This window comes from Homo sapiens, chromosome 1 (assembly GCF_000001405.40).
Source record: "Homo sapiens chromosome 1, GRCh38.p14 Primary Assembly".
Taxonomy (NCBI): Eukaryota; Metazoa; Chordata; class Mammalia; order Primates; family Hominidae; genus Homo; species Homo sapiens.
In genome coordinates, this window is record NC_000001.11 from 216,843,099 (window position 1) to 216,870,360 (window position 27,262).

Below are 27,262 nucleotides of genomic sequence, written 5' to 3' on the forward strand. Positions count from 1 at the left end.
ACAGCCCAAGCACTCATGAATGGGAAATAAATGAGAGATAGTCTTTTTTTTTTCTTAAATTTCCATGCATCTTTACAATACTGTCCCAAGAAAGGGGGCTAAGAATCAAATTTTGTTTTTTTTTAATATTTTATATGAGATTTGTGAGGCTATTTTTGCTACTACAACATGGCAAGCAGGGAGTTTCAAGATTGTGATTTTATTAAGGAATAGAAGACAACCTTTTTTCCACAGGGCTCTACAAAATATTCCATCAGCAGAAGTGTTAGGCAGGTCGGAAAGACTAAGTTTTTCAAGGTATTAAATTAAAAGATGTTGAATTACGTTAAATGCCCCACATTGAATTGACATTTCTCCTTTTTTAATGCAAGCTAAGATTGATGAAAAATACCACTTATCTACATTAAGGGTCAAAATCTCTCACAAAAAGAGCTTCTGGTTCAACACGTCAGAGCAGAGTCAGTCTTCCATAATCCAGGGACCAAGACGCGGATCACATTCTGATGATCCAATTAATGGTGGGATACTTTGCAATCATCCGGCAAGCAAGGCCCCTAACAGATTGTGGGGCTGTAACATCAATTTCTTAAGTGCATTTAAAGGATTACAAATGTTAGTCCTGGCTTGAGATTGAAACACCTATTGAGGTACTCTGAACCACATTACTGTAATTGGGTACCTGAATTAATGCCATTTCTTCTGATGGGTGAGTTGAATACATTGGAATTAAGAGTTCTTTTTGCTGTATTTCACTTTCTCATTCTTTCTTCCTTTTTTTTTTTTTGTTTCCTTGGAACATAAATCTGAATTGAAATAACTCTTTTTTAATCCAGATAGCTTTAATTACAGCCCTCAGGAATCCAAGTATTGTCCTCATTTTACCTCATGCACTGTTTGGGTGCACTCTTCTTTGAGCTTGTTATCTTAATATGCAGCACTTAGACAATGAAAATACAATTCTTTTCTTTAAAAAACTAAGGGAATAAGGAAAGGGGGAAAAGGAGAGGAAGAAGGCTCTGCTTCTCTTTCCTTCCAGCCATATGAACCTCATTATGAACACGGAGGATAGCACTTGAAATTCATTACAGGCCTGGAGAGTTAAGATCCAGATCCTCCCTAAACCTTTCACTCTTTCTGAGGTTGGTTAAAGTAAAAGTTCTGATTAAGGAAGAACTAAATAGGTGGGTATTGTCAGTATATTTTAAACTTCAAAATAAGGATTTTGACCTTCTTTCCCAACTTAATCTCCATTAAGTCCCTCAGCTAAGGGGAAATCACATAGCATCACTGCGTCAAACCTCCCCGAAGCTTGCTATGGTAAATTGAATGAAATCTGCACTCCCCACTTGAGTCTAAAAGGTCCTACGTGCTCTTCCTGCTCAGCTCTGATGTCATATTCGATTGCTCTCCAACCTGTGCACCAGGCTGTGTCCTCATGCAGCTTCTTCCTGTCATCCAAGTGCACCACGCTCCTCCTCCATTAAGGCCCTCTGCCTTAGGCATTCTACTCTGAGACTTCACCCTCACTCCTTTCAGATTTCTACTCAAATATGAATTTATAGAGTTCCCTGACTCTGCTATAAAATAATACTGATGCGCCCCCATCCTTCTCAAGTCGTGCACTCTTTCCTCCCCTACCTCATGTTTCTTCATAGCATTCGTGCATGTGTGTGTGTGTGTGTGTGGTGTGCACACATGCATGCAAATTAGTAATATATGCACCACACACACACACTCAAAAACAATGACTGTACAAGTAGGAACTTTGTTTCATTCACTACCAGAACACAAGTAACCAGAATAGTACCTGGCACAATTCAAATATTTATTTAGTTGGATTGAACTGAGTTTTTGCATGGCTAATTCTGCCTCATTATTCTGGTCTCAGATCCAATATTTTCTCACAGAGGACCCCAGATGACTCTTATTTAAAGTAGCACTTTCCCTATCCTCTCCCTTATTACCTTGTTTTATTGTCTTACTATTTTTTAGTAAGACAACCAACATCTGAAATACCAATGTACGTACATATGTTTGTATGTTTGCATATGTTTAATGTCTATTTCTTTATCTTATTACTTAAAGTTAATGAGGGTTGGAAAATGTTTTTCTGTCTTGTTCAATTTGGTGTTTTTAGTGTTAAGAACAGCACTTGGCATGTAGAAGGAGTACCATAAATATTTGTTAAATGTGTATGCAATTAATTGAACCAGAGGGAGTCAAACGTGCAAGAGCCTTTATCAAAATAGGGTTATAGATGACACAAACTCTCTTCACCTGGTATAAAGATAACATTGATAGGGTATAATTTATTCCACCTACTGTAGAAAAACAAAGCTGGTCATGGTAGTTATCATCGGCTTTGGTAAGGAGACACAGAAGAGCTCTGAAGAAAAGTCTGGCTTAGAGAAAAGCTACTTCTGGACAAAATTGGAAAACAGGTATTGCCTGTCAAGCTGTGCCCCCATCTCTCCTGTTCTGTGCCCTTTCCTGGCTTGTAAGCTATACTGTTTTATCCCCTCTAGACTCTGAAGCATCCAGTGGCCTTCATGTCAGTACCTGACTCAGTTTTCCCCTCCCCTGAAAACATTCCTACTCTGGAACTTTCTAACTCATCCTATCCTTGTCTTTCTTCCAAAACATCCAGATTCAGGCATCATATTCTCCCAGTCGCTACTCTTAGGCTTAAGCTAACCTGGCAAACCTCTGGACTTAAAAAGCATCAGCTGGCAATAATAATGAACAGGACCCCACTTTCCTGGAAGAGTGATACACCCTCCACTCAGGATGTCTCCACTCCACTCCTCTTTGAGAGGAAGGGAAAGAAAGCTGCGTTTCTATTGCACCAAGAAGGAAATCGTCTACAGAAGGCTCCCAGTGTCTCTTGTCTTTCTTTCCTTTGTCACAGTAACCACTTAACCGTATTCATTCCTGATCGTAAAAATAATTTTCTAAAAACACAGTAGCAAATTTAAATCATGTAAAAAGAACAAAATTTAACCTATAAATCCCTAAATAACAACTTCATAGTTTGTTTCTTTTTGGTCTCTTCTCTTTGGACATCTTTACATGGTCAATATCGTACACTATATTTAGTTTTCCCCCACTTATTATATTGTGAAAATATTTCCACGTCTTTACGTATTCTTGATCACCATTTTGGACAGGAGAGCGTATTTCACTATAGGGATTTATTGCCATTTAGTTAACAATGCCCTATAAGAAATTACTAGGTTATTTTTACTTATAAACAAGGAAACAATAAACATATGTCTTTGTCTAGAGGAGTTGGCAAACTTTTCTGTAGAGGTCCGGATAGTCAGTATTTTAGGCTTTATGAGCCATATGGTCTCTGTTTCAACTACTCATTTCTGCTGTAGTTAGATACAATGAGTAGATAAATGGCTGTGACTACGTTCCGATAAAATTTTATTCACAAAAACAGGCACCGGACAGAATTTGGCCTGAGGGCAGCAGTTTGCCAACCCAACCCCTGGCCTAGATCTCTGATTGCTTTCTCAAGATGCATAAAAGTGTAATCACTAAGCCAAAGGGGTGAACATTTGTAACAGATACTGAAATATCTATTATTCATCTTAAATATTGTTGCATGCTTGATTTTTCACAATAACAAAGTCACTAATTTAGTTAACTTAGAGGAATCCTGACCCAATTAACATTCCTCAAAAAGGAGGAAAACTGAGGCCCAGATAAAGCTGAACCTGAATCTTCGGTTTTATTTGACATTCCCCTTATGTAGTTCTCTTTAAAGATAGTTTTTTGTATATATATTTATATATATAAAACTAATTCAGATGCAGAAAGCAAGTTTCCAGGAGTACTGCAACAGTGCAGTCACTAAACTAAGAAAAGACAATTTCTTGAATTCTCAGGGCTTTGATAACTCAACATTCCTTCCAGGTAAATAATTCAATGGCAGTCACCAGCAGGGTGACTACTGCTTTTTTAGTGTAAAATGAGTAAGATAAGAGGCTTGTTAATCATGTATTATGATTACTGCTTAGGCCACAAAGGAGAGTTGACAGTACCAGTTACAGTACATCAAGGTCTGCCGTGCACAATTTGTGCTACTAGGGCTCTATATTATTAAAGTTTGAAGATGTGTGAGGGTATAAATGACCCCTATCTAAAGTTTTCAAGTAATGTTTAGTATTTACACTATAAATCTGCTCTAACATGGCATTAAGTTGCAATTTTAGTTTTACTTAATAAACTATATAGGGGCAGACAACCTATTTGCTATCTTTATTCTCAACAGACAAAGAATTTAAATATGTTCTCAAGAGAGTTCAAAAGGTACCATGATTTAACTGGAGTAGAAAGGAAAGGGATACATTTTAATTCCCAAAATGATTTTCCTCGGGGGAGTATGAACGCTTTTTGCATTCTGTCATGGTTTCTTTTTAACTACACCAACACATCCTTTCTCGGCAACCAACCAGAGATGATGAGAGCCAGGATGAATCCCATGAGTCATTTTAGTCCAGGCTCCTGTGTCAGCAGAGCAGTTCTCATTATTCTTAAGCATATTGTCTCTCTCTAAACTGGGCATGTCCAGGTCTGTGATTCTACTATGATATGAATGGATATTAAACCCTGGGTGAACCTGCTCTTCATTCATGGCCTATTATCAAAGCATCATGACTGCTGAGCTGAGGGGTCCATGCCTAAATACAGACATTGGGCATCTGGTTGGCAAGAAACACAGTGGCGGTGGCTATGCCCTCTAACTCTCTAGTGTACAATAATATGTTCAGGGAGCAGAAGAGGGACACTCCATTCTTGTCTCCTGTGGCTAATGTTTTTTAATCATGAACAAATGCTGTTCCAAGATGTTGGTATAGGACAGCGTTTCTCGACCTCAGGATTATAAACATTTAGAGGCAGATAATTCTTTGTTGTGGGAGGCTGTCCTGTGCATTGTAGGATGTTTAGCAGCATCCATGGTTTTTGCCACCCACTTAGTGACAACCAAAAATGACTCCAGATATTGGCAAATGTCCCGTGGGGTAATGGTGGGAGGTGAAATCATCCTGACTGAGAAGGACCTAGAATGGCAACTCAAAGGCAGAAAGACATGTAAAAGTACACACTGCACTTGCCCATCTCCTCTGTCAAGTATGCTTCTGGGGTGGGAATGAAGAAAGCAATGCAGCCCTGGGAAGAGACACCAGAAAGACTGAGCCCTACATGGACATGTAAATTTTTCTCTACCTGAGGTTTAGAATGTCTGGCTTGTGCTCAGCAGTCATCACAAAGCTAGATATGAATTTCTTGGCTTTTTTTTTTTTTGACTCATTAGGTCGCCCTGCTCAAAATGATTTACACAGAGATAATTAAACTTAAGCCCTAAGGGCTAGTTAACTGTTTAGCAGTGTATACATTTCATATAACCATTTCCATACATCTAGTTTTAAATTCATTAACAAAAATTAATAGCTACCCAGTGCTCTACATTGCGCAGCATGTTGCTATGGTATGCTTGCTAAATTACCCCTTTCTATCACTCCTCCAGCGATCTCATAGACAGTTAAACTTTGCTATGCTGGAAATGTTGCCTACCAATTTGCAGCAAAGCTCATATTTACTATATTTAGTGTGAATAATTGACTGCACTTCGGAAAATATTTGTCTCTGTTTGGTGTGCCTCTGGAACATTCTATCAGCTTTAAAGAACAGTACATGCACTTTTTTCACTCTTTGAAGAATCACCGAGAAACATTTAATAGGTAATACTAGCGCTGGATATGCATTAGAAATATATGTTTTACTAATATTGTCCTTCATCTGAAAGTCCCTTAACTGCACTTAAATATCTTGTATTTTTTCCTCCTGGCGTATTTTATGAGGACGAAATGCCTTTCTGATATGAACTACCTATGACCCATTAAATAATTATCTTCTTATTTCTGAATACCAATATAAAAAGAAAAATGAGACAGTAAATCTCTTTTCTATAAACTTATTGCCACAATTATACATATTTTAGAATTTTTGGTAATTAAAATATATTTTCCATTAAAAAATAATCTCTAATCATTCTTCACCAATATTTACATTGTTCACTTCAGGTCTGAAAAGGAGTCAGGGTGAACTAATTCATTGTTTACACTCAGAATCCTAGGTGGCCCAAACCCATAAAGGTAGTACAATGCACTGTATCTTTCGTTCTTAGTACTTATCTTAATCTTAATAACTAGCCAGACAACTGACTCCAGAGTCTGGGGCTTATCAACTGGAATTCGTCACATGAACCCAACAGAAGACAAGAAATACATTATATAACAATGCTACACAAGTCATTATCTCTCGACATTTAAAGGTATGCATTCAAAAACTATGTAAGGCTTTTATATATTTATTTATTTATCTTTTGCTGAACTCAGATTCCACTAGTTTCTATTAAATTTGATAGCAAACGAACAGAAATGCCCTTGTTAGGTATTATCTGCAAACAGTTTACTACCAAGAGATCAAAAGGATTCGTCCTACTTCATTTCAGCATTGGCTACTGGGAACAATCTGCTTGAAAAACTTTCCTTGATACAGATTATATAGGAAACAGATTAATAAGAAAATAAAAAGACCCACGCTCCTCAAATATTGAAAAATGTCAACTACTTTAGTAGAAATTTCAGTATCTTCCCAATAGCACTTTTTCTGGATTCCTTTGAAGTAGCTTATACAAACAACAGTAATATTGAGCCATCTATACTACAGTTTTCCCAGACCATGTCTTGGGTTAAAAACAGGACATGACTCTTTCAACTATTCACATGGAAGGTATCTTCTTCAGCAGAAAGAAGTTTATGAACTCTCTTGTTTTAGTGAATGATTTATTGTAAATATTTCTAATTGCACTTTAAAATTTTCATTCTAAATAAATGGAGACTGAAAGGTGTAATGCACTTTATATACTTCTGCAAGATAAGATTTATTTCTTTTACCAGTTTTACAGAACATTTATTATGTCTATAATGAGCTAAATATTTTTACTGAGACTTCAAATAGAAATATATACACAATTTAAAATGTAGATAGCCAAACCATTGGCATCATCCAAATAAATATTTTCTTTAAAATCACTCCTTTTGAATTATTTCTTCAAAAGAAATGAATGGTGAAAATATTTGTTAAATGACAGCTGAATTTTTGCTTTCTACCAATGTTGTCAATATGAAGATACTTTCTAATAAATGCCACCTATTATGTTTCCTCTTCTCCAGAAGAAAACATCAATTCATTAGTTAAAGAACTCTTAGTATAAACATATTATTTTTGGTGTGAGTGACATTAAGTTTATTAACACTTGCATTGTTAAAAAGATGTAGTCACTATCCAACTCTCCACAGGTAGTTTTAAACCAAAACCTTATGTAGAAGTTGCACCATGTCTGGAAACAGGCTAAAAATAAGATATAGTGAAATATATAATGTATATGTTTAGCCTAGTAATTATATAATACACTGTACTCCTATCTCCTTTGTTCCAATAATCAAAGGTGCAATTCTTGATGACATTTAAATATATGCAAAATTAAAGGTAGCAGAGTTTAATATGAAAAGATATATATCATTTCCCCTAGAAATTAAACTCTTCCTGTGATCTGTAATAAATACCGTGCTGTTTTACAAAATGGAAATAAGATTGATGATATTGATCATAAGTTTCATATTTTTCATTGAATCTATTGATGAATCATTTACCAAGAATGAACGGGACAAAAGATCTATGGAAATATTGCTTAGTTAAGAAAGAGATGTGCTTAGATAATATCACAATATTTTATCAAGGCTGTCATGTAAAGTGCTGATAAATGTTTTATCTTTCTGGAAGATACGGCCCTCTAGAAATGTGTGTCTAAGCACTAAAAAAGGTATGGTTTACATGCATGTGTTTAGATGTGTAGACTCCTTATCTAGTATGTATAACACTTCCTCCACCAACATGATATTTTGTTTTTATTGAATACATTCTATACTACCTATCAGATATCGTGAGTATGTTTTTCTGAACCCTTAGAATCCTAGCAGGACTGGAAGAAAGGTTAAAGATCTATGACTAATTAGAAAGATAATTTTTTGTAAAGAAAGAATAACTACACTTCTCAGAGTGCCCACTCATTACTAAAAGCTGTGTGCTTTGAGTCAGCAGACCTGAAACCAACAAGATGCATGTGCTGCTTTTCTTGTTTCGGCATCTAAGTTACTTTTGAAACACAGTAGTGTAGGAGAGAACTACTTGTTATGGACTAAATGTGTGTATTCCTCCAAAATTCACAAGTTGAAATCCTCCCCACTCCCCACCAGGTAATGGTATTAGCAGGTGAGGCCTTTGGGTGGTAATTAGGTCATGAGAGTGGAGCCCTCATGGATGAGATTAGTGCCCTTATAAAAAGAGGCCAGAGAGCGCTCTTGCCCTCTTTCCACTGTATGAGGATACAGGGAGAAGTTGACAGTCTACAAACTGGATGAAGGCCCTCGCCAGAACCTGATCATGCTGACACCCTGATCTCAGACTTTCAGCCTCCAGAACTGTAAGAAATTAAATTTCTGTTGTTTATAAGCCACACAGTCTATGGTGCTTCATTACAGCAGGCCGAACTAAGACACTACTGTTGGCTGCTAATTTGCAGAAATGTGCATCTCTCATTGACCCGGCTAAGGATCCTTTTATTTTTTCCTGAACATTATAGAAATAAACAAGACCAATCAAACAAATATTAGGAAACTGGTATTTAGGAAGAGTAGAAAAATCACCCAAGTGGGGCCACACTGATATCAACTTTACAAAATAATAAGATACAAAAAAAAAATCACCAAATGGATTGGTTCAAAGAAGAGAATTCAAAACTTTGACAAAGAGCCCTTAGAAGGGACAGTAAGAAAGAAAAGCAATATGAGAAAGAACTACATGCAACCTGTTGCGGCTGAGAAGTTTGTCAGATAGATGAATAAAGACTTAAAGCAAAGAAAAAAGAGTTTCCCAAAAGGGTTGTTTAGGCTTGGTTTATTTGAGACTTAAGAAATACCCCTTTAAAAGTATTATTTTGTCCAAGTCCTTCACTCTTGAAATTCATCATCACCACCTTTAAAGAGATTAGTGATAAAGGTTGGCTTCTTCATAGACAGTACTGATATATGCTGGGTTCTTGGCACTCAGTTACAATGATATTAGTAAAGAAGCACTATTAGTTAATCAAGATGGTGAACACAACCAAGGTGAGCAGGACATTGTATAGGAAATTCTTTGGAGAAGAAACCGTGGCACACAAATTAGCAACTGAAGACATAAACAAGATCAAAGAGCTCTGATATAATTGCAAAAAGTAGCTCACTTATCTGTTAAGCATTTTACTATTTAGTACACATTTTGGCAATTTAGCATATCTTGCGTTTTATTTCCACAATGAAATTGTAAACTCCTGAAAGGCAAGAAAAAAAATGTGTTCATACTATCTTGTTTAATGTAAGATAAAATTGAGCAGAGGTAAGCAAACACTTATATGTTAAGTTTCACTGAATTTTGAATAAAATTTGATTTATAGGATGCTCAATAATCATAGAAGTTTTGAGCAAAAACAGTTGAATAATCTGATTTTTCAGATTAAGGTATTGAAGCCCTAAATGTCAGAGAATCTAATCCAAAGTCCAGACATTTAGGTCTAGAGATAGGACTCATCCTACCTTATCTTCTTACTTCTTCCCACCAGGGCTCTTTCCATGTTAAGATTTAATTGTTTGACTGTCTCTGTCTTGAAACACATTTGAGTCACTCTGACTATGGCCTCACTTACTTTCCTAGGTCCCGGGAAACCTAATATGCACCAGGTACTACCTACTTGTTTTACATATTTTCTGTGAGATTTTATAAAAGTGCTTCTAGCCTGCATCTCTCAGCCTATTAGAACCCCTGTCCTTTACAAACAGTTCCCAAACTTTGTAATACTCTACATGTTAGTCAAGGACACAAACACATATCAAAAATGTTTATACTCTGACAGGTATGCATTATGCTAAAGGACTGAATCAAGTTAATGGTAAAAATAGCCAAACCTCTTTTGTACACTCTGTAGAGCAGTGCATATAGGCCAATTGGCTGACTGGTAGCAAAGAAAAATGACAAGTCCTTCTGATTGAGGCTTCACTTTCAGAGTAGATCCTATGCCTTTATCAACCTACTTTTCACATGCTGCCAGTTCGCTCTGAAATATCCAGCGTGGATTATGCCACGTCCAACTTCAAAAAAGTTCAATGGTACAAATTCTAACATGAGAAATCATAAAGTCCAAATTCCCTTATGTAATACTTGAGATCTTTCCTATTTTGTCTTCAATTCAGTGTTCTATTTAGCAATTATACTCAGTTTCTACACACACCTTCCTCTAGCTCCTCCATTTTTCTGTTCTTTCACACACTTCCTTGTCTTTATTCATGCAGCCCCAGAACCCTCAATGGTCCCACAACATACAGACTCACTAAGACCCCTGTCTCCCACACTCAGTGTATCCACCCATCACATTTTACCTCTCTTCCAAAGACCGGGTAAACTCACTGGTCCTCCAAGATGCCATTCCTTATTCCCCAAGTGCCAGTAAAGCATTCATTTCTGCAAACTTCAACAGCGAGTTGCTTTGAGTGCTGTTTCTAGCTTTCATCTGTTTTATTTCATCTTTCCTGCATTTCAAGCACTTCATAATAATTTCTTGGTGAAATGATTCAACTGATTCAATTGCTTTTTTATCTTTTCATTGGACATACACTTTTCACCATTTATAGGTTTTTAAGTCTGTTTATACCTTTCAGAGCATGTGTGCCTTCTGTTGAAACTGAAACACTGTGCTAATCCTGACATAGAGCATGAGCCCAGACACAATGCCATCAATTACTTTGTGAATCAGCTGGGAGTTAGGCTCAGCTGGCTGCTTCTGCAGCTGCCACAAAAGCTCCCTAGATGTGGCAGGGTGCGGTGGCTCATGCCTGTAATCCTAGCACTTTGGGAGGCTGAAGCGGGTGGATCATGAGGTCAAGAGATGGAGACCATCCTGGCCAACATGATAAAACCCTGTCTCTACTAAAAATACAAAAATTAGCTGGCTGTGGTGGCGTGTGCCTGTAGTCCCAGCTACTCAGGAGGCTGAGGCAGGAGAATCCCTTGAACCCCAGAAGTGGAAGTTGCAGTGAGTCGAGATCGCACCACTGCACTCCAGCCTGGCGACAGAGCAAGACACCATCAAAAAAAAAAAAAAAAAAAAAAAAAGCAAAGAAAAAAAAGAAAAAACTCCCTAGATGTATTTCTAACTAGACTGTAATATTCTTGAAGATCAGGGAGTTGTCTTATCCATTTTTACACGCCTTGAAGCATCTAACGAATACCAGGTAGGTAGACAAATGTGTACACAAGTCTGAGGATCAACAGGAACTGATAAATTTTGTAGAAAAGCCAGTTAATTAACTGCCCAGACTAAGAGCACTCACCCTTTCCACTTTCACTTCTTAGGGCAGGAGAAATGATCATGTCTATATGGCGCCTGAGGTAACTACTTATGGCTATACAATAGTCTTGGCTGATGGATACCAGAGCTGTGATATAATTGCAAAAAAGTAGCTCACTTTCTCTGTTAAGCATTGTTTACTACACATTTTGACAATTTAACGTATCTTGTGTTTTATTTCTACAGTGAAATTGTAAACTCCCGGAAGGCAAGAAAAAAAAATTTTGACAAAATTGAGCTGAGGTAAGCAAGCACTTACATGTTAAGTTTCACTGAATTTTGAATAAAATATTGGTTTATAAGATGCTCATAAAGCATAGAATTTTTGCTCACGTTTGGTTGCTCAACTTTTGGTCACACTGAGCAATCCTCTAGAAGTGCTGGGTCCTCTGAAAATGCCCGTGGACCAACAGAAAGCTCCTCTCTGGAGAGTCTGTCCGGTTAGGCTTTAAGCTCTAGGGGTCAATGTCAGGCTCCATTTTGGAAGAATTTTTCCCATATATATTTTCACCCTGAAGAGGAAAGGGTAATGCTTTTTTTCAAAATCATTTAGGACCTATGGGCCGCTGATATGACACTTGGATTCAATATTCCGAAACAAAAACATGCAAAAGTTGGCTTGAACAATAACAGGGCTTAGGTACAAAGCCATGTTCCTGGCAACAGCATCTAAGAAACAATAAACAGTAGCTCTCGCTTTAGTTTAAAGTTGTTGCTGCTGTTACTGTAGCTGACTTGAATGCTTCTTTGGTGCCAGTCACTGGGATAAGAGCTTTCTGTGAATTATCTCATTTAATTGTTAGAAAAAAAATATCTGTGGGTATATTATTTCTCCATTTTACAGATAAGAAAAGTTCAACTCTGACAGATTAAAAAACCTGTACAAATTCAAAAGGTAACGTAGAACCTGAGGCCAGCTAAAGTGGAAAACAAAATGCTTTTTGAATTTAATGTAAAGATGATACTGTCAAGGCCGCAACGAGACTGCCAAGGTCCAACAAGTCTGAGTCTGTGGCACGTGGAAGGAAGAGTCCTCTCTGTGACACATCTGCGCTTAATCCACCCAATTAGGTGTCTCCACCTGCCCCCTCCCCTGCTCCCCAGCAAGGCAAAACACCTGGGAACCAACGAGATAAATGCAGCTGCAAAGATCCTGCGGCTGCCGCATCTGCACGACACGCCTTGTGACAGTTCCCCGCTTGAAAATGCAGTTGTGCAAAGGACTGTGCAGAGTGTGTTTTCCCTCCCACTCTTTCCATTCTCATTTCTTTCTCTCATGTTTATGGACTTTATCTCAATTTGAGTGAAGGCAGTTGTGCTGAATAATGATGAGGTGCTTCCTCCAGTGCTGCACAGTGATAGCCTGATAGTTTCAGCCAGCTTGGAATTCTTCAAATGTCTTCTTTTTGTTGTTATCAAAAGAGGTGACCTACTACCTGGGGCATTGTGTTGACACCTATGGATACCAAAGAGGCAAAGTATTCGATTATCTCCTTTTTTTCCCGGTCTTCCCTAGAATTGTAACTCACTTGCTTTGTTTCTTGTGAAAAAAAAAAACTTCCTATGAAAAGAAAATATAGAATAGAGTTGATACACAGTGTGTTCAATATAAAGAAAAATGGATGAATGGATCTCAAACTGATGTAAAGGAAAATTTCCTGGAAAGCATGCTCCTTACATTTCCCATATAGATATTACCAGTTGCTTAATCAATATGTCTGTCTCTGCTTCTCTCTTCAACACACACACACACACACACACACACACACACACACACTTGGAACGAACAGAAGCGATTCGAGAGTGAAGAAATTCATCTTGACCTGAAATTGCTTTTGGAACAAGTCCATCTCTGACATCAAAACAATTTCTGTCAAAGTGTCTGGGTTCAAGCAACCCACAAAATAGCAGCTTATTTAAAAACCAAATCCACTCCTTATTGAAAGTGGTGATATTTGAAGCACACACAAGTAAAACTAATTTAACCTTTGGAAAGTTATCTCTGGAGAGAAGAGTCAAAATCCCTTTATAAGATTTTTAAGCACTGCAATTATTGACGAAGAGTATATTACTTCAGTTTTCTCTGATCAGGAAGAGGAAAAAAGAGAAAACCCCACAAGAGACATCAGCAGCTGTCAGGCTATTTTCCAACTGCAAAGAGATAGTTTACAGTGGGCTTGTGCCAGTCTCTTAAGACCCAGTTAAGAAGCCTTTTTAAAATGCCTTAAAAAGCCAACTCATACATTAATCAAGTTGAGCCCTCATCCATACTTACTGCAATACATCAATTACTATGTCTTTTTTTAAAAATAAATTCCAGTTGACAGCCGACACCTTATTAAGGCCCACTAAAATGATACAATAAGTAGAAGGCTATTAATATTGCTCTTTTTTTTCTCCTTGCTATTGTCTTGCTGCACCGGTCTGCAAACAAATTCAGGCTGCATTACAATTAATGCCAGTGGAACTCCTTCTAACGACTTCCAGCTTGCTAATTTTTTACGCTAATAATAAAAAAAGGCATTGCTATGCAAGAACGACCCCCTTTTATCATGCTAGCATAGCACACCAGAGAGTGTCTGCTATTGTTCACATGAAAGACAATTAAACCCTGGAACATCAAACCTAAAAATGACAATCTGCTAACCAGCACTGGGCATTGCTCAGTGCTTTTCTCTATTTCCCGAACTGATAGAAAACAATTCTCTGAAGACATTCCTTTCCTATTCTCCCTTAACCACCCTTTGGGAAAAAAAAAAAAAAGAAAAAAACTTTAAAAAATACGCTTTGCTGATTTATGCATCTCTGCTTAGAATTTATTAACTGTCTAGGACCAATTTCACTTCAACACTCCTATTGCCTGCAGGTTTAAATTCTGGACACATAAAACGAAATGCACCAATATCACCCACATACTATCATATTTAAAAATAAACATTAAAAGTATTCTTTAAAAATGCACACAATATAAAAGTCTAGAAAGAGAAAGAAAAATCTAATTCTGCAACTCTGTGTATCTCATCTTCTCTGGGGACCATGCTAGAGAGTCACAGGGCATTCTGAAAACTAAGTCTAGTCCAGAAGCTAATTTTTCACAAAGCCAGATTTAAAAAAAAAAAAAAAAAAGTCCCTTCATTCTTAGCAATATAAGGATTCATTCACCAAAAATGACACGCCCATTTACTGGAAAAATACCCTTTATTTGAACTTTAATTATAACATACAGAATATAAACATACCCACATAAAAGTTCACTAATTTTGTTAAAAAACTTTTCAAATTTTCACTAACATTTCCCCCATGGTATAAGGAGAAATAAAATAAGTCAGAAAGTCTGAGTTGCAACCTTGCCCCTGAAACCTGCGAATCTTGGGTCTCAACCAAATCTTGTAACCTCTCTGAGCGTCAGTTTCTTCATTTGTAAAATAATGAGAAAAATAGCTCCTTTTTCAAGCACAATTGTAAAGATGAAATGAGAAGACGGATATGAAAACTCTTTGAAAATTAAACCATAATACATTGTAATTAAAATAAATAATTAAGGCTGGGTGCAGTGGCTCACGCCTGTAATCCCAGCACTTTGGGAGGCCGAGGTGGGTGGATCACGAGGTCAGGAGATCGAGACCATCCTGGCTAACACGGTGAAACCCTGTCTCTACTAAAAAAAAAAAAAATTAGCCAGGCGTGGTGGCGGGTGCCTGTAGTCCCAGCTACTTGGGAGGCTGAGGCAGGAGAATGGTGTGAACCTGGGAGGTGGAGCTTGCAGTGAGCTGAGATTGTACCATTGCACTACAGCCTGGGCGACAGAGTGAGACTCCATCTCAAAAAATAATAATAATAAAATAAAATAATTAATTAAATGAAGTTGTTGTACGACCTCACTAGAGTTGCACTGAAATCTTTTTCTGATTAGTAGTGAGTGACTCTCAAATGCTGGGCATGGGCAGACCTAACATATTTACTCAGCAAGATTTGGTAAAGGGGCCAGGTACTATCCTAGGTTCTTCACATTTGGCATTTTATTGCATTCTCACAAGAACTCTCTTGGCAGGGATGATCGTTCTCTGATTACAAATGAGGAAACTGAGGCCTAGGGAGATTTGGTGTTTGGCCTAAGTGGCAGAGTTGAGATTTGAATCACAGTACTGATCACATAGAAGACACTCAATAAATGTCCCCAGCTGTGACCCATTCTTAAGGTGACTTTCCATGGTAAGCATCTTGTAAAAGAGAGCAGTTCTGTGAAGCCAGGTTAAGAGATGAGTTCAGGCAACCTGTACTGATATATTGGCTCTGACCCTAGTTGGCATGGACCTTTGGGCCAGCCATTAATTCCTCAGTTTTGCATCTGTAAAATACAGGGGTTTTTGTGAGAATCAAATAAGTCCATGTATAATGTTTAGAAAAATATTCAATAAATGTGAATGTGTGTTATTACTTTATCCTCCAGCGCTGTGTGAGAAACTCTACTTTGTAAAATAAGCATAAAATAGGATCAGTAGCTTCCACATTTAACCAAGATAAAGCAACAAGGACCAGACTTACCCTACCATCTAAAATAATAAAAACACAAACAAAATATACAGAACAATGTGTAAGATCCTAGAGCAAGGTAAAGAGATATAGTGATCTCTAAGAGATTAGAAACAAATAAGGTAAGACCTATGATCATCTCAGCTTACTTCCTTGAGAGAGGCTCCAGGTCAAATGCAAAAGGTGAAGTCAGGCAGAGGCCAACAGACTCCTTCAATTCAGGAGACACATCTAAAAGGCTCAGGAAATCAAGGCAAGTGTAGAATAGAGTACTAGAGAAGATGTTGCTGCAAAGATAGAGAACTCCAGAGATTTGCAGATAGTCCTTTTCAAGTGTTCAATTGAATATTAAACAGTGCATGCATGCAAGGAAACTATTGAAGGCTGGGAAAAGAATCATTAAAAAGTTTAGAGGTACTAGTGCCCAGTGCTTACATAAGACTAGGAATAATGCTTGCTCTCATCACCCAGATTGGAAAAACCTCATGATTCATGGGACATTGGGTGGGGTACACTGACAGGTCTTTACTCAAAAATGGTAAATAATTAGCTGTAGACTGAGCCCTGTTCCAGTCTACCTAACAAATATTAAAAGTAAGAATCTAAAGGATGAAACTACTTCCAAATAACTGCATCCCAGAAAAAGCTAAGGATATTAACAGAAATACAAAATATCCAACATATGAGAAGATAGAATTCTCAATGTCTGGCATCCAATCAAAAGTTACCAGTCACTCAAAAGAAGCAGGCACATATCATCCAAAAGTGAGAAGGAAAAAACCAATCAATTGAAACAGACCCCAAAGTGACCCAGATGTTAGAAACAGCAGACAAAGGCCAGGTGCAGTGGCTCATGCCTGTAATCCCAACACTTTGGCAGGCCAAGGTGGACAGATCACTTGAGGCCAGGAGTTCGAGACCAGCCTGGCCAACAGGGTGAAACTCCGTCTCCACTAAAAATATAAAAACTTAGCTGGCAATGGTGGCACATGTCTGTAATCCCAGCTATTCATGAGGCTGAGACAGAAGAATTGCTTAAACCTGGGAGGCAGTGTTGCAGTGAGGCAAGATCGTGCCACTGTGCTCCAGCCTGAGTGACAGAGCGAGACTCTGTCAAAACTAAATAAATACATACATAAAATAAGAAAAAGGAAAAAATAGCAGACAAAGACATTAAAACAATTATTATAACTATATTTTATATGTCCCCAAATTGGAGGCAAGGGAGATTTATAAGCCTACAGATTAGTGAAGCTCTGCAGATCCTCAAATAAGAAACATAAAGAAAATGACACCAGGGCATATCATAACCTAGTTGTTCAGAATGACTGATAAAGTATAAAATCTTAAAAGTAGCCAGAGACAGAAGACACTACATGGAGACCTGAAGGTAAATAAAATAGAGATTTCTCATTGGAAAGAGTGAAAGCAAGAAGACAATATATTGGAACAATATATTTAAAGAAAGAAAAAACTGTCAACTGAGAATTTGAAATATAGCTTTTAAAAACAAAACAACAAAATATATTTGTACGTATATACAAGGCTGAAATGATTCATCGCAAGCAAAACTGCAATACAAAAATATTCAAGGAAGTCCTTGTTACAGAAAGAAAATGATACCAGATGGATATATGAATTTACACAAAAGAATGAAGAACACAAGAAATGGTAACTAGGTGAGTTAATTTATTTGCTATTATTATTAGTACATCTCTTTAACAATGTACTGTTTAAACAAAAATCATAACGACAATGTAGTGTGGGGTTTATAATATATGTAAGAGCAAAACGTGAAAAGAATAGCACAGAGGTCGAGGGAGGAAACATGGAAATATATTATTGTAAGTCTCAAACAATAAATGAAGAGGTACAGTATCAGTTGAATGTAGTCTGTGATAAGTAAAACATGTATACTATAAATCCTAAAATAATAAAGCAAAGAGTTATAGCTAATAAGCCAACCGAGGTCATAAAATGGAATCATAAAATTTATTCAGTTAATCCAAATGAAAGTAAAAATATGAAGAGAAAGAAAACAAAAAAATGAAATAAATAAAAAATAAATAGAAAAATGCTAGATTTAAACTTAACCATATCAATAAACACATTAAATAAAAGTGGTTTAAATATTCTAATTAAAAAGTAATATTCTATAGCATTACAGGGTATAATTCACAATAATTTATTGTATATTTGTAAATAGCTAAAAGAGCAGATTTTGAATGTCTCCAATACAAATAAATGCTAAATGTTTGAAGTGGTGAATATGCTAATTATCCTAATATTGATCATTACACATTGTATACATGTATCAAAATATCACACTGCATCTCATGTGTAATTATTATACGTCAATTAAAAGTACTAAAAGCAAAAAAAATTTTAACAGTAGAGATTGTTAGATTGGATAAAAAAGCGAAATTCAACTATATGTTTCCCACAAAAATAAATACACATGAGAAAAACCTTTGTAATCTGGGATAGTCAAAATTTTTTTCTTTTAGGTACAATATGAAAAGCATAACCCATTAAATATCAAATTGATAGACTTCATAAAAATTAAAAATGTATACTCTTTAAAAGACACTGTTGTGAGAAGGAAAAGACAAGCCAACACTAGCAGAATATATTGCAAATCATAAAATCAAATAAAAGGTTTATATCTAGAATACAGAAGGAACTATCAAAACTCAATAACAAGAAAACAAAAAACCTAATACAAAAGTAGGCAGAAGATTAGAATAGAAACTTCAACAAGGAAGATATATGAATGATAAATGAGCACATGAAAGATGCTCAACATCATTAGTCATTAGGGAAATGCAAATTAAAACTACAAGATACTACTACACATCTATTAGAATGAATACAATTGAAAAGTCTGACTAAACTAAGGATTTGGAGCAAGTGTAATTCTCATACACTGTTGCTGAGAGTGTAAAGTGATACTACTTTGGAAGACAAACAGCTTGACAGTTTTCTGAAAAGTTAAACATACACTTAATATATGATCTGTTCTCAGGTTTTTACCAAAGAGCAATGAAAGTCTATGTCCATGCAAAGACTTGTAACAGTTTCCCTTTTTTTTTTTTTTAGACAGAATCTTGCTCTGTTGCCCTGGCTGGAGTACGGTGGCGTGATCTTGGCTCACTGCAACCTCCGTCTCTTGGGTTCAAGTGATTCTCCTACCTCAGCCTCCTGAGTAGCTGGGATTACAGGTGCGTGCCACCATGCCCAGCTAATTTTTGTATTTTTAGTAGAGATGGGGTTTCACCATGTTGGCCAGGCTGGTCTCGAGCTCATGACCTCGTGACCCCCCCAAAAGCCCAGGCTAAAATAACACAAAAATCCACTGACAGTAACTTAATAAACACATCGTAGCTTATACAATTTGATGGTACCTCAGTAATAAAAAGGAACTAACTACTGATTCAACAACATGGATATATGTTAAAATAATTATACTGATTGAGACAAACCAGATAAAAAAGAATATATACTGTAGGATTCCACTTACATGAAAGTCTACAAAATGCAGACTTATCCATAGAGGCAAAAAGCAGATAAGTGATTAGCCTTGAGATGGGGGAAGTAGGTCAGTAAAGGGGTCAGAGAAAAGGATTATAAGGTAGCAAAAGAAAACTTTTGGGGTGAGATCCCCGTTTATTACGTTGATTAAGGTATTGGTTTCATGGATGTATATGTACGTCAAAATGGATCCAATTATATACTGTAATGTGCAGTTTATTATATTTCAGTTATAACTCATAGAGCTGGTACAAACAAAGATAAGATTATTGTCCATAAGGAATTTAAAAGTTAATTATTGAAAGAAAATATATGTACAAAATTAATGTAATGAATAAGAAGATAATATAAACTGTTTTGTACAAAATACATGAAAAAAAGTAGAGACCAGTGATTCTTAAACTTTGATACCCATCAGAATTGCCTGGAGGGAGTGTAAAAGCATAGATTGTTGGGTCCGATGCCCAGAGTTTCTGATTCAGTAGGCCTGGGATGGAGCTTAAGGATCTGCATTTCTAACAGGCTCTCTGTGAATGCTGATGGTGCTGGTCCCAGGACCACACTTTTAGAATCACTGATATATATGAGAATAGGACAATGTAGAATAAAGGGCCAATTTAGAAAATAGAGAAATTATAGCATTTTTTGAAAAGCTTTATTTTTTCCTTAAGCTCACAATGAAATAGAATTCAAGTGAATAAAATTTTATTTTATTCTCAGAATTTCTTTCCTTCAAAATTTTTCTATGTTCCTACTGAAAATTCCACAGTTTTCAAGTAGATCTCATACTACCTAGTTGCAGAATTCACTGGCATAGAGACAGTCAATATCCTCTTAGAGAGCAATTAAATATCAAACCAGTGAATAAGTTAAGAATAGGGCAAGGGTATAGTCCAATTAGTCAAACCTTTTATTTCCACTTTCTGCCATATTTTCAATTATTCTTCTCCTATACCCTTTTGAGAAATAGTTATTATTGTAGGTTTAAAATAAATAAAAATAGTTTTTCTTTCTCAGGAGTCATGGGCTTTGTTCTTTGCTATTCCCTCTGCAACACTTTTTGTCCTACCTGCTCACTTTCATCTGGCTAATTCTAATTTGCCTTTTAAGCCTGGGATAGACAGTACCTATTTGCAGAACTTTCCTGGGCATACTTCTGCTCACCCTGCTGCACAGGAAGCTCCTACTCTGTGCTCCTTGTCTCTACTGCATCCGCCATCTTGCACTAAATCATTTTATCACACTCATCACATTTTTTCTACTTCTTAGTGTATTTCTCTTTAATTTAATGAAATTGCATTTGGGACATCCTAGCTTCCCTGATCCTCTCTAAGTTACACAGTGTTAGGAATAGAGAAGGAGGAGTCAGAGGTCACCAAAGCTAGAATCATAAAATTGGAGAGACAGAACATGGGATGAAATTGTAAATATACAACATACACTTGCATACAGGCACATACAAACATTTGGGGGGTTGTTAATGACTTCCCTAAGGATAGTAATTTCAAGTGGCACCAATCTTTAACCCAGATTGAATCACAGGACAAATCAAGTTTCCCAATTCCTACTCATGCATTTGACATAGTTATGGTCTGCTTTTATAGCTTTTGATCACAATTTCCTAGGAGGCAGCTGGTCTCTAAATCAACAAGTCAGAAAAAAAAAAAAAAAAACAGCCAAAGCCCAGTCCTTTAACAAAATTACCTATTGAGGAGGTCAATGCTGTTTGGAACACATTTAAAACATTTATAAGAGTGATTTTTTAAATGTCTGCTATTGGATGAGGGTTACATTCAAAGATTCCAGTTGTACTTTTGTATGACACTAGACTTCTGCTGTAGTGCTTCACCCAAAACAGAGGTTTAAGGAAATAAAAAAACAAAAATAATACAGAAAAAAAAAACCAAAACACTTTACTGAAAATTTTCATTTCAACCAGAAGCAAACGTGTTCTAAGAAGGCAAAGTAGAGTTAGGAACAACTCCGTGTTTCCCTCAGGAATAAACGTGATCTTTCACACTTGGGGGTTGATAGTCAGCGTGGAGTAACAGACCAACTTAAGAAGGAGGCATCTGGGGCTGTTCACCTAAGGAGATGCTTCCCAGAGGCCCAGCATCTTGGGAGAACACCCCAAGTTCTCTGGAGAGGTCAGGAGTTTGGGATGCAGGATCACACTGAAGGTCAGCCCAGCAAAGCAGCTGATCTAGGATATGGGCTTCTGACTTCCAGATTCTACCATCATCACAGAGGCTCAAAGCTGGGGCCCACACCAAAAGGGCGTGATGATTCCCAGCCTTCAGCACAACAGGAATTGACCTGGAAAGAAAGGCCTTTATTCCTCTGACAGAAAAACCTGATTCCCAAAGGAAAATGATACTTTTACCTTATTCCCTTTCTCAGTGGATCTGCATTTTCATGAATGAAGAAAAGAAGAAAGTTGAATTCTCTGACTAGGAAGGTTTCTTATAAGAAGGTTTCCAATAGACTTCAACTTTTTAAAGCTGTGCAGCAAAAAAAAAAAAAAAAAAAAAAAAAAAAAAATTACCACAAAGGAATAAAGAGCACTAACCAAAGAAATTTCACTCTCATAGATTTTGTAGCACCTCAGAACTTCCTTTGGAAGGGAAGGACAAAGCGGCCGTTTGCTCAGCTCAGATCATTTGGATTGAGACTCATATGTTATTTTAAATGAACATTGCTCAGGTAGTTAAGCCTTAAAAATCAACCATCCTTGACAACTGTCCATTTTTTTTTTTAAGTCTTACCTTAAGGGTTTAAGAAACACATTTACAAAGTATGCTGTAGTGGGAACTAGCCAAGCTTCCTACCTGGCTTCATAGCACAATTGGGACTGCTGGTCTTTGTTCATTTTTGTCTTTGAAAACTTTGTTACAGTTAAAAGAGGGAAAAGGAGTAAACTTAAAAAGCAAACATGGAACACTTGTTTAGCACTTGGAACAATACAAAATTCCAATGCACATTAAAAATATAATCCAATGGACCATTTAATTTTCAAGATTTTACTTTCACCCCTTGACTAATAATGTTAAGAAAGTACTGAATTTCTCTCGTGATACTAGAACTGTCTTTTACAATGGCATTCCTTTTGAGAAATCAGAACTAAAGTTTTCTTTGCATTCTCTATGTGCTGAGTCCCTATATTGGATAATATTAGCATCTTTTATATCCATACCTAATATAACATTCTTTTTTCCTATATTGTACAAGTTCCAGAGTCTTAACGCTTTATAGTAGTGCCAACAAAAATGTTTAAGGAAAGGCCATCCAAAAGCAGACATGACATTTTGCAGAGTCTTCAGTTTATCTTTAGAATGTATAATTATAAACTGTGCTTGAAATAAGCTGCCCAGATATTTGTGTTAACACAGAAATTCTGTTACCATTAGTTCTTGCTCAGTAAATGCAAATATTGTGAACATGCTGTTTAACAGCAGCAAATATCATGTCTCCCATTTTTATGAAAAGTAATACTGTAAAACATGCTATCAAGTAATCAACATATTTATTAAACAGTTCTCCATACAAGCCATGTACATACATACACACATTTTATTGGACAGTGTAGTAAGTGACCACAGTTGAAGTGTTCACATCCAATATCATACATATGTACATCCCCTTTATATGGTGCAACTATAGCAATACAATGACATTTTAAGGATTGCTCTTATTGTTATTTAACATATATGTTCTTATCAATATTGAAATATATATTTTTTAGGGGAAAGCAACAAGCATGTACATTAGTTTCTACGGAAGATCTACTTTCTTAAAACAACCATATTAAAATCATATATACTAGCTCTCCAATGTAGCAGAAATATCTATATCTCATGATATCTTTATCTTTCTTTGTTTCTTTCTTTCTTTTTTTTTTTATTTTTTTTCTTTGAGATAGGGTCTTACTCCATCACTCAGCTGGAGTGCAATGGTGCGGCCTCAGCTCATTGCAGTCTTGACCTCCTAGGCTCCGGTGATCCTCCCACCTTAGCCTCCTGGGTAGCTGGGACTGCAGGTGCTCACCACCACACCTGGCTAATCTCTTTATCTTTTAAAACAGCTTAAAGTATGTCCATATTTCTTCCTCCACGTGGCCTTTCTTACAGTCTTCAAACTCTGGCATCCATGGTTAGATTTTCTTTCATTTTTTGATGTGGGTTTTCAAACTTAAAAAGAGAGTATAAAGTAATCTCTCTTCTTTATTTTCTGCTACATAGACAGTTTTTAACTTTAAATATTTTACATTTCCCTAATTACAAGTTTCTGTCATTTTCTTCATCAGTCTTCAAACTATGAAATGATGAAAAGATATATTTGGTTTTAAAAAATAAAATGATGAAACTTTGTGATACTGGTGCTCTTCTTCAAAGGCCTTTGAGTCTTCTGTTTCAGTATGTATGCAACGTGCATGCTGACATGGTCTCAGGAAGTATATTAGCTGCAAGAATAACTATCTTTGCATTATGCATATGGGAAAACTGAGGCACAGAACAAAATCACTTGTCCAACATCTTGTAGAAACTGTAAGTGTGCACAGAAAATAATTGAGAGGGAGATATAATTTAATTCAAATCACTTATCAAAAGAATTCTCCTTTTGCTTTGATAATATTTTTCTAACCTCTCCTTTTTACACAGCCAAATTCTCAGCAATAACCAGAAAGTCAACCCAAATGTCATTATCTTAAGTTTATAATAATTTTAAAGTTTGGGCAGAAATTTCTCTTCATATATTCATGAAGAAAGTTTCCTGTAAGTAAATGAATAGTGAAACAAATTTGCGTAGGGGATATTTAACTACTTAAGATAACATATCTTTGTGGGTCCCTGTTAATTTGAAAGCAACTATTTCACTGCAGAAAAATTGATAAGCAATCATTCTTAAATTTGTAAGAAAAAAGACTCTAAACATCTTTATTAGCATGCTTTGTAAGTCCAAGTCCAATTCTGTTTATTTGAGACATTTATTTTATCAACCATCATCTCTCCCCGACCTCTTCTCCACTATACTGTAATTCCATGGTGCTAAGGTTATTTTTTCTTATCAGTGTAAAAATTTTATTTTCTAAATTATAATACAGCATAATCAACACTTATTTTGGTGTACAGCCCTATGAATCTTAACACATGAATAGGTTAATGTAAATATCACAAGAATCGGGGTACAAAACAATGCCCTGCCCTACAAAACTCCTACTAGCAATCCCTTTATAGGCCAATTGCCTGTCACCCCTAACTCCTGGCAACCACTGATCTGTCTCCAGCACTACAATTTTATCTTTTTGTGAATGTCATAAAATGGGATACTACAGTATGTCACTTTTTGAGACTGGTCTCTCACTCAGCATGAAGATTTGTCCAAATTGTTGTGTATATTGATCCTTTTTTTTTTTTTTTTTTTTTTTTTGAGACAGAGTTTCACTCCTATTGCCCAGGCTGGAGTGGAATGGAGCGATCTGGGCTCACTGCAACCTCCGCCTCCCAGGTTCAAGCCATTCTCCTGTCTCAGCCTCCCAAGTAGCTTGGATTACAGGCATGCGCCACCATGCCCAGTTAATTTATTTGTATTTAGTAGAGATGGGGTTTCACCATGTTAGTCAAGCTGGTCACAAACTCCTGATCTCAGTTGAGCCACCCACCTCGGCCTCCCAAAGTGCTGGGATTACGGGATCCTGTGTGCCACCACGCCAGGCAGATAGTTTGTTCTTTATTATTGCTGAGTAGTGTTTCATTGGATGGATGCACCACAGTTTATCTATCCATTCACCCTTGAAGGACATTCACATTGTTTACAGTTTTGGACAGTTACAAATAGCGCTGGTATAAATAATTATATACAGATTTTTATGTGATCATCCATTTTTTATTTCTCAAATGTAAATATCCACGAGTGGGATTTCTGCATCCTACAGTAGATCACTTTTAACTGTATTTAAAAAGGGCTGAATTCTTTTCCAGAGTGGCTGTTTCATTTTGCATTTCTATCAGCAATGTGTGCAAGTTTCAGTTGCTCTACAGTCTCATCAGCACTAGGTATAGTCACACTTTAAAAAACTAGCCATTCTAGTGATATGCAATAAATTTCATTAATATTTTAATATGCATTTTCCTCATAACTAATGGCATTGAACGTCCTTTCATGTGTTTATATGCATTTCATATATTTCCTTTCTTAAAATGTCTGTTCAAGTCTTTTGCACATTTTAAAATTAGGTTGTTAGTTTTCTTACTACTCAGTCTTGTAAATTCCTTATTTACTCTTGTTATGAGAGCTTTGTCGGCTATGTGCTTTGCAAATATTTCCTCTCAGCAAGAGAATTGTCCTCTCATTTTCTTAATAGTGAGAGTGCAAACATTTTAAATTTTGTTGGAGACCAATTTATCAATTTTTTGTTTTATGGATTATATTTTTAGTGCCATGTTTAAGAACTTTTTGCCTAACCCTAGATAATGATAGTTTTCTCTTATGTTGTCTTCTAAACGTTTTATAGTTTTATGTTTTACATCTAGATTTTTGTTCACTTTTAAGTTTTGAGTTAATTTTTGTATAAGATGTGAGGTTTAGGTGAAGGTTTAACTTTTTCCCCCTGTTGATGTTCAGTTTTTCCAACATCATTTGCTGAAAGGACAAAATTGCTTTTGTACCATTGTCAAAAAATAATTGGTCATATTTATGTGAGTTTATTTCTGGATTCTTGTTGAGGTCTATTGGTAATTGTCTATTTCAATACCACATGGTCTTGATTAGTGTAGCTATATAGTAAGTCTTAAAATCAGAAAGTATGATTCCTTTAAGTTTATTCTTTTTCAAAATCAGTTCAGTTATGCTAGCTCCTTTGCCTTTCCATAAAAACTTTAGAATCAGTTTGTCTATGTCCACAAGAACATCCGCCTAGGAATTTTATAGAAATTTCATTAAATCTATTGATCAAATTGGGTAGAACCAACATCTTTACTTTGTTGAATCTTCTGATTCATGAACATAGTGTATGTCTCAATTTATTTAGGTTAGATAGTCTGTGATTTATTGCATCCATATTTGTAGTTTTCAGCAATAGATCCTGGAAATATTTTATTAAATGTATAACTATATATTTCATTTTTGGAGCTATTATAATTTTTTTAAATTTTTTAAGTGCACTTTCCAATTGTACATTGCTAGTATATAGAAATGCAATGATTTTTGTATGTTAACCTTGTAACCTGAAAAGTTGCTAAATTCACTTATTATGTCTAAGAGATTTTTGGAATTTTCTTGGGATTTTCTACCTAGAAAATCAAGTCGCCTGTGTTTTATTTATTTCCAATAATCTTCTAGTACAATATTGAATAGAAGTTTTGTAGGTAGACCATCCTTGCTTTGTTCCTGATCATAGGGAGAAAGCATTTAGTGTTTCACCATTAACTCTATTAGCTGTAGATATTTTGTAGATGGACTTTATCAAGATGAAGAAGTTTCATTCTATGCCTACTTTGCAGAGAATTTTATCATGAATAGATGTTAAAATTTGGCAAACATTTTTTCTGCATCAATTGACATAAACCTGTCAATGTGCTTTTTTTTTTTTTTTCTGGAGGATTACATTGATTGATATCTAATATCGAGACAGCCTTGCAATCCTGGTTTACAAAATAAACCTCACTTTGTTATTACATGTTATTC

The 27,262-nt window shown here is 36.1% G+C and overlaps 1 protein-coding gene across 41 annotated transcripts in view; it reads right to left on the reverse strand.

Moving 5' to 3' along the window:
• The window catches only part of ESRRG (estrogen related receptor gamma), a 634,457-nt gene that overhangs the window by 339,853 nt on the left and 267,342 nt on the right, over positions 1 to 27,262 (reverse strand). For 15 of the 41 annotated variants that reach the window (XM_047449371.1, XM_047449351.1, XM_017000631.3 and 12 more), the window contains one exon: positions 21,963 to 22,080. The exons of 21 other annotated variants lie outside the window; for them this stretch is intronic. The gene's annotated coding sequence lies outside the window, so the exon portion shown is untranslated. Of the gene's footprint in view, positions 1 to 11,848; positions 12,028 to 21,962; positions 22,081 to 27,262 lie in introns of all 41 variants that reach the window. 5 more of the 41 variants (XM_017000637.2, XM_017000632.3, XM_017000636.3 and 2 more) reach the window with 2 other exon arrangements.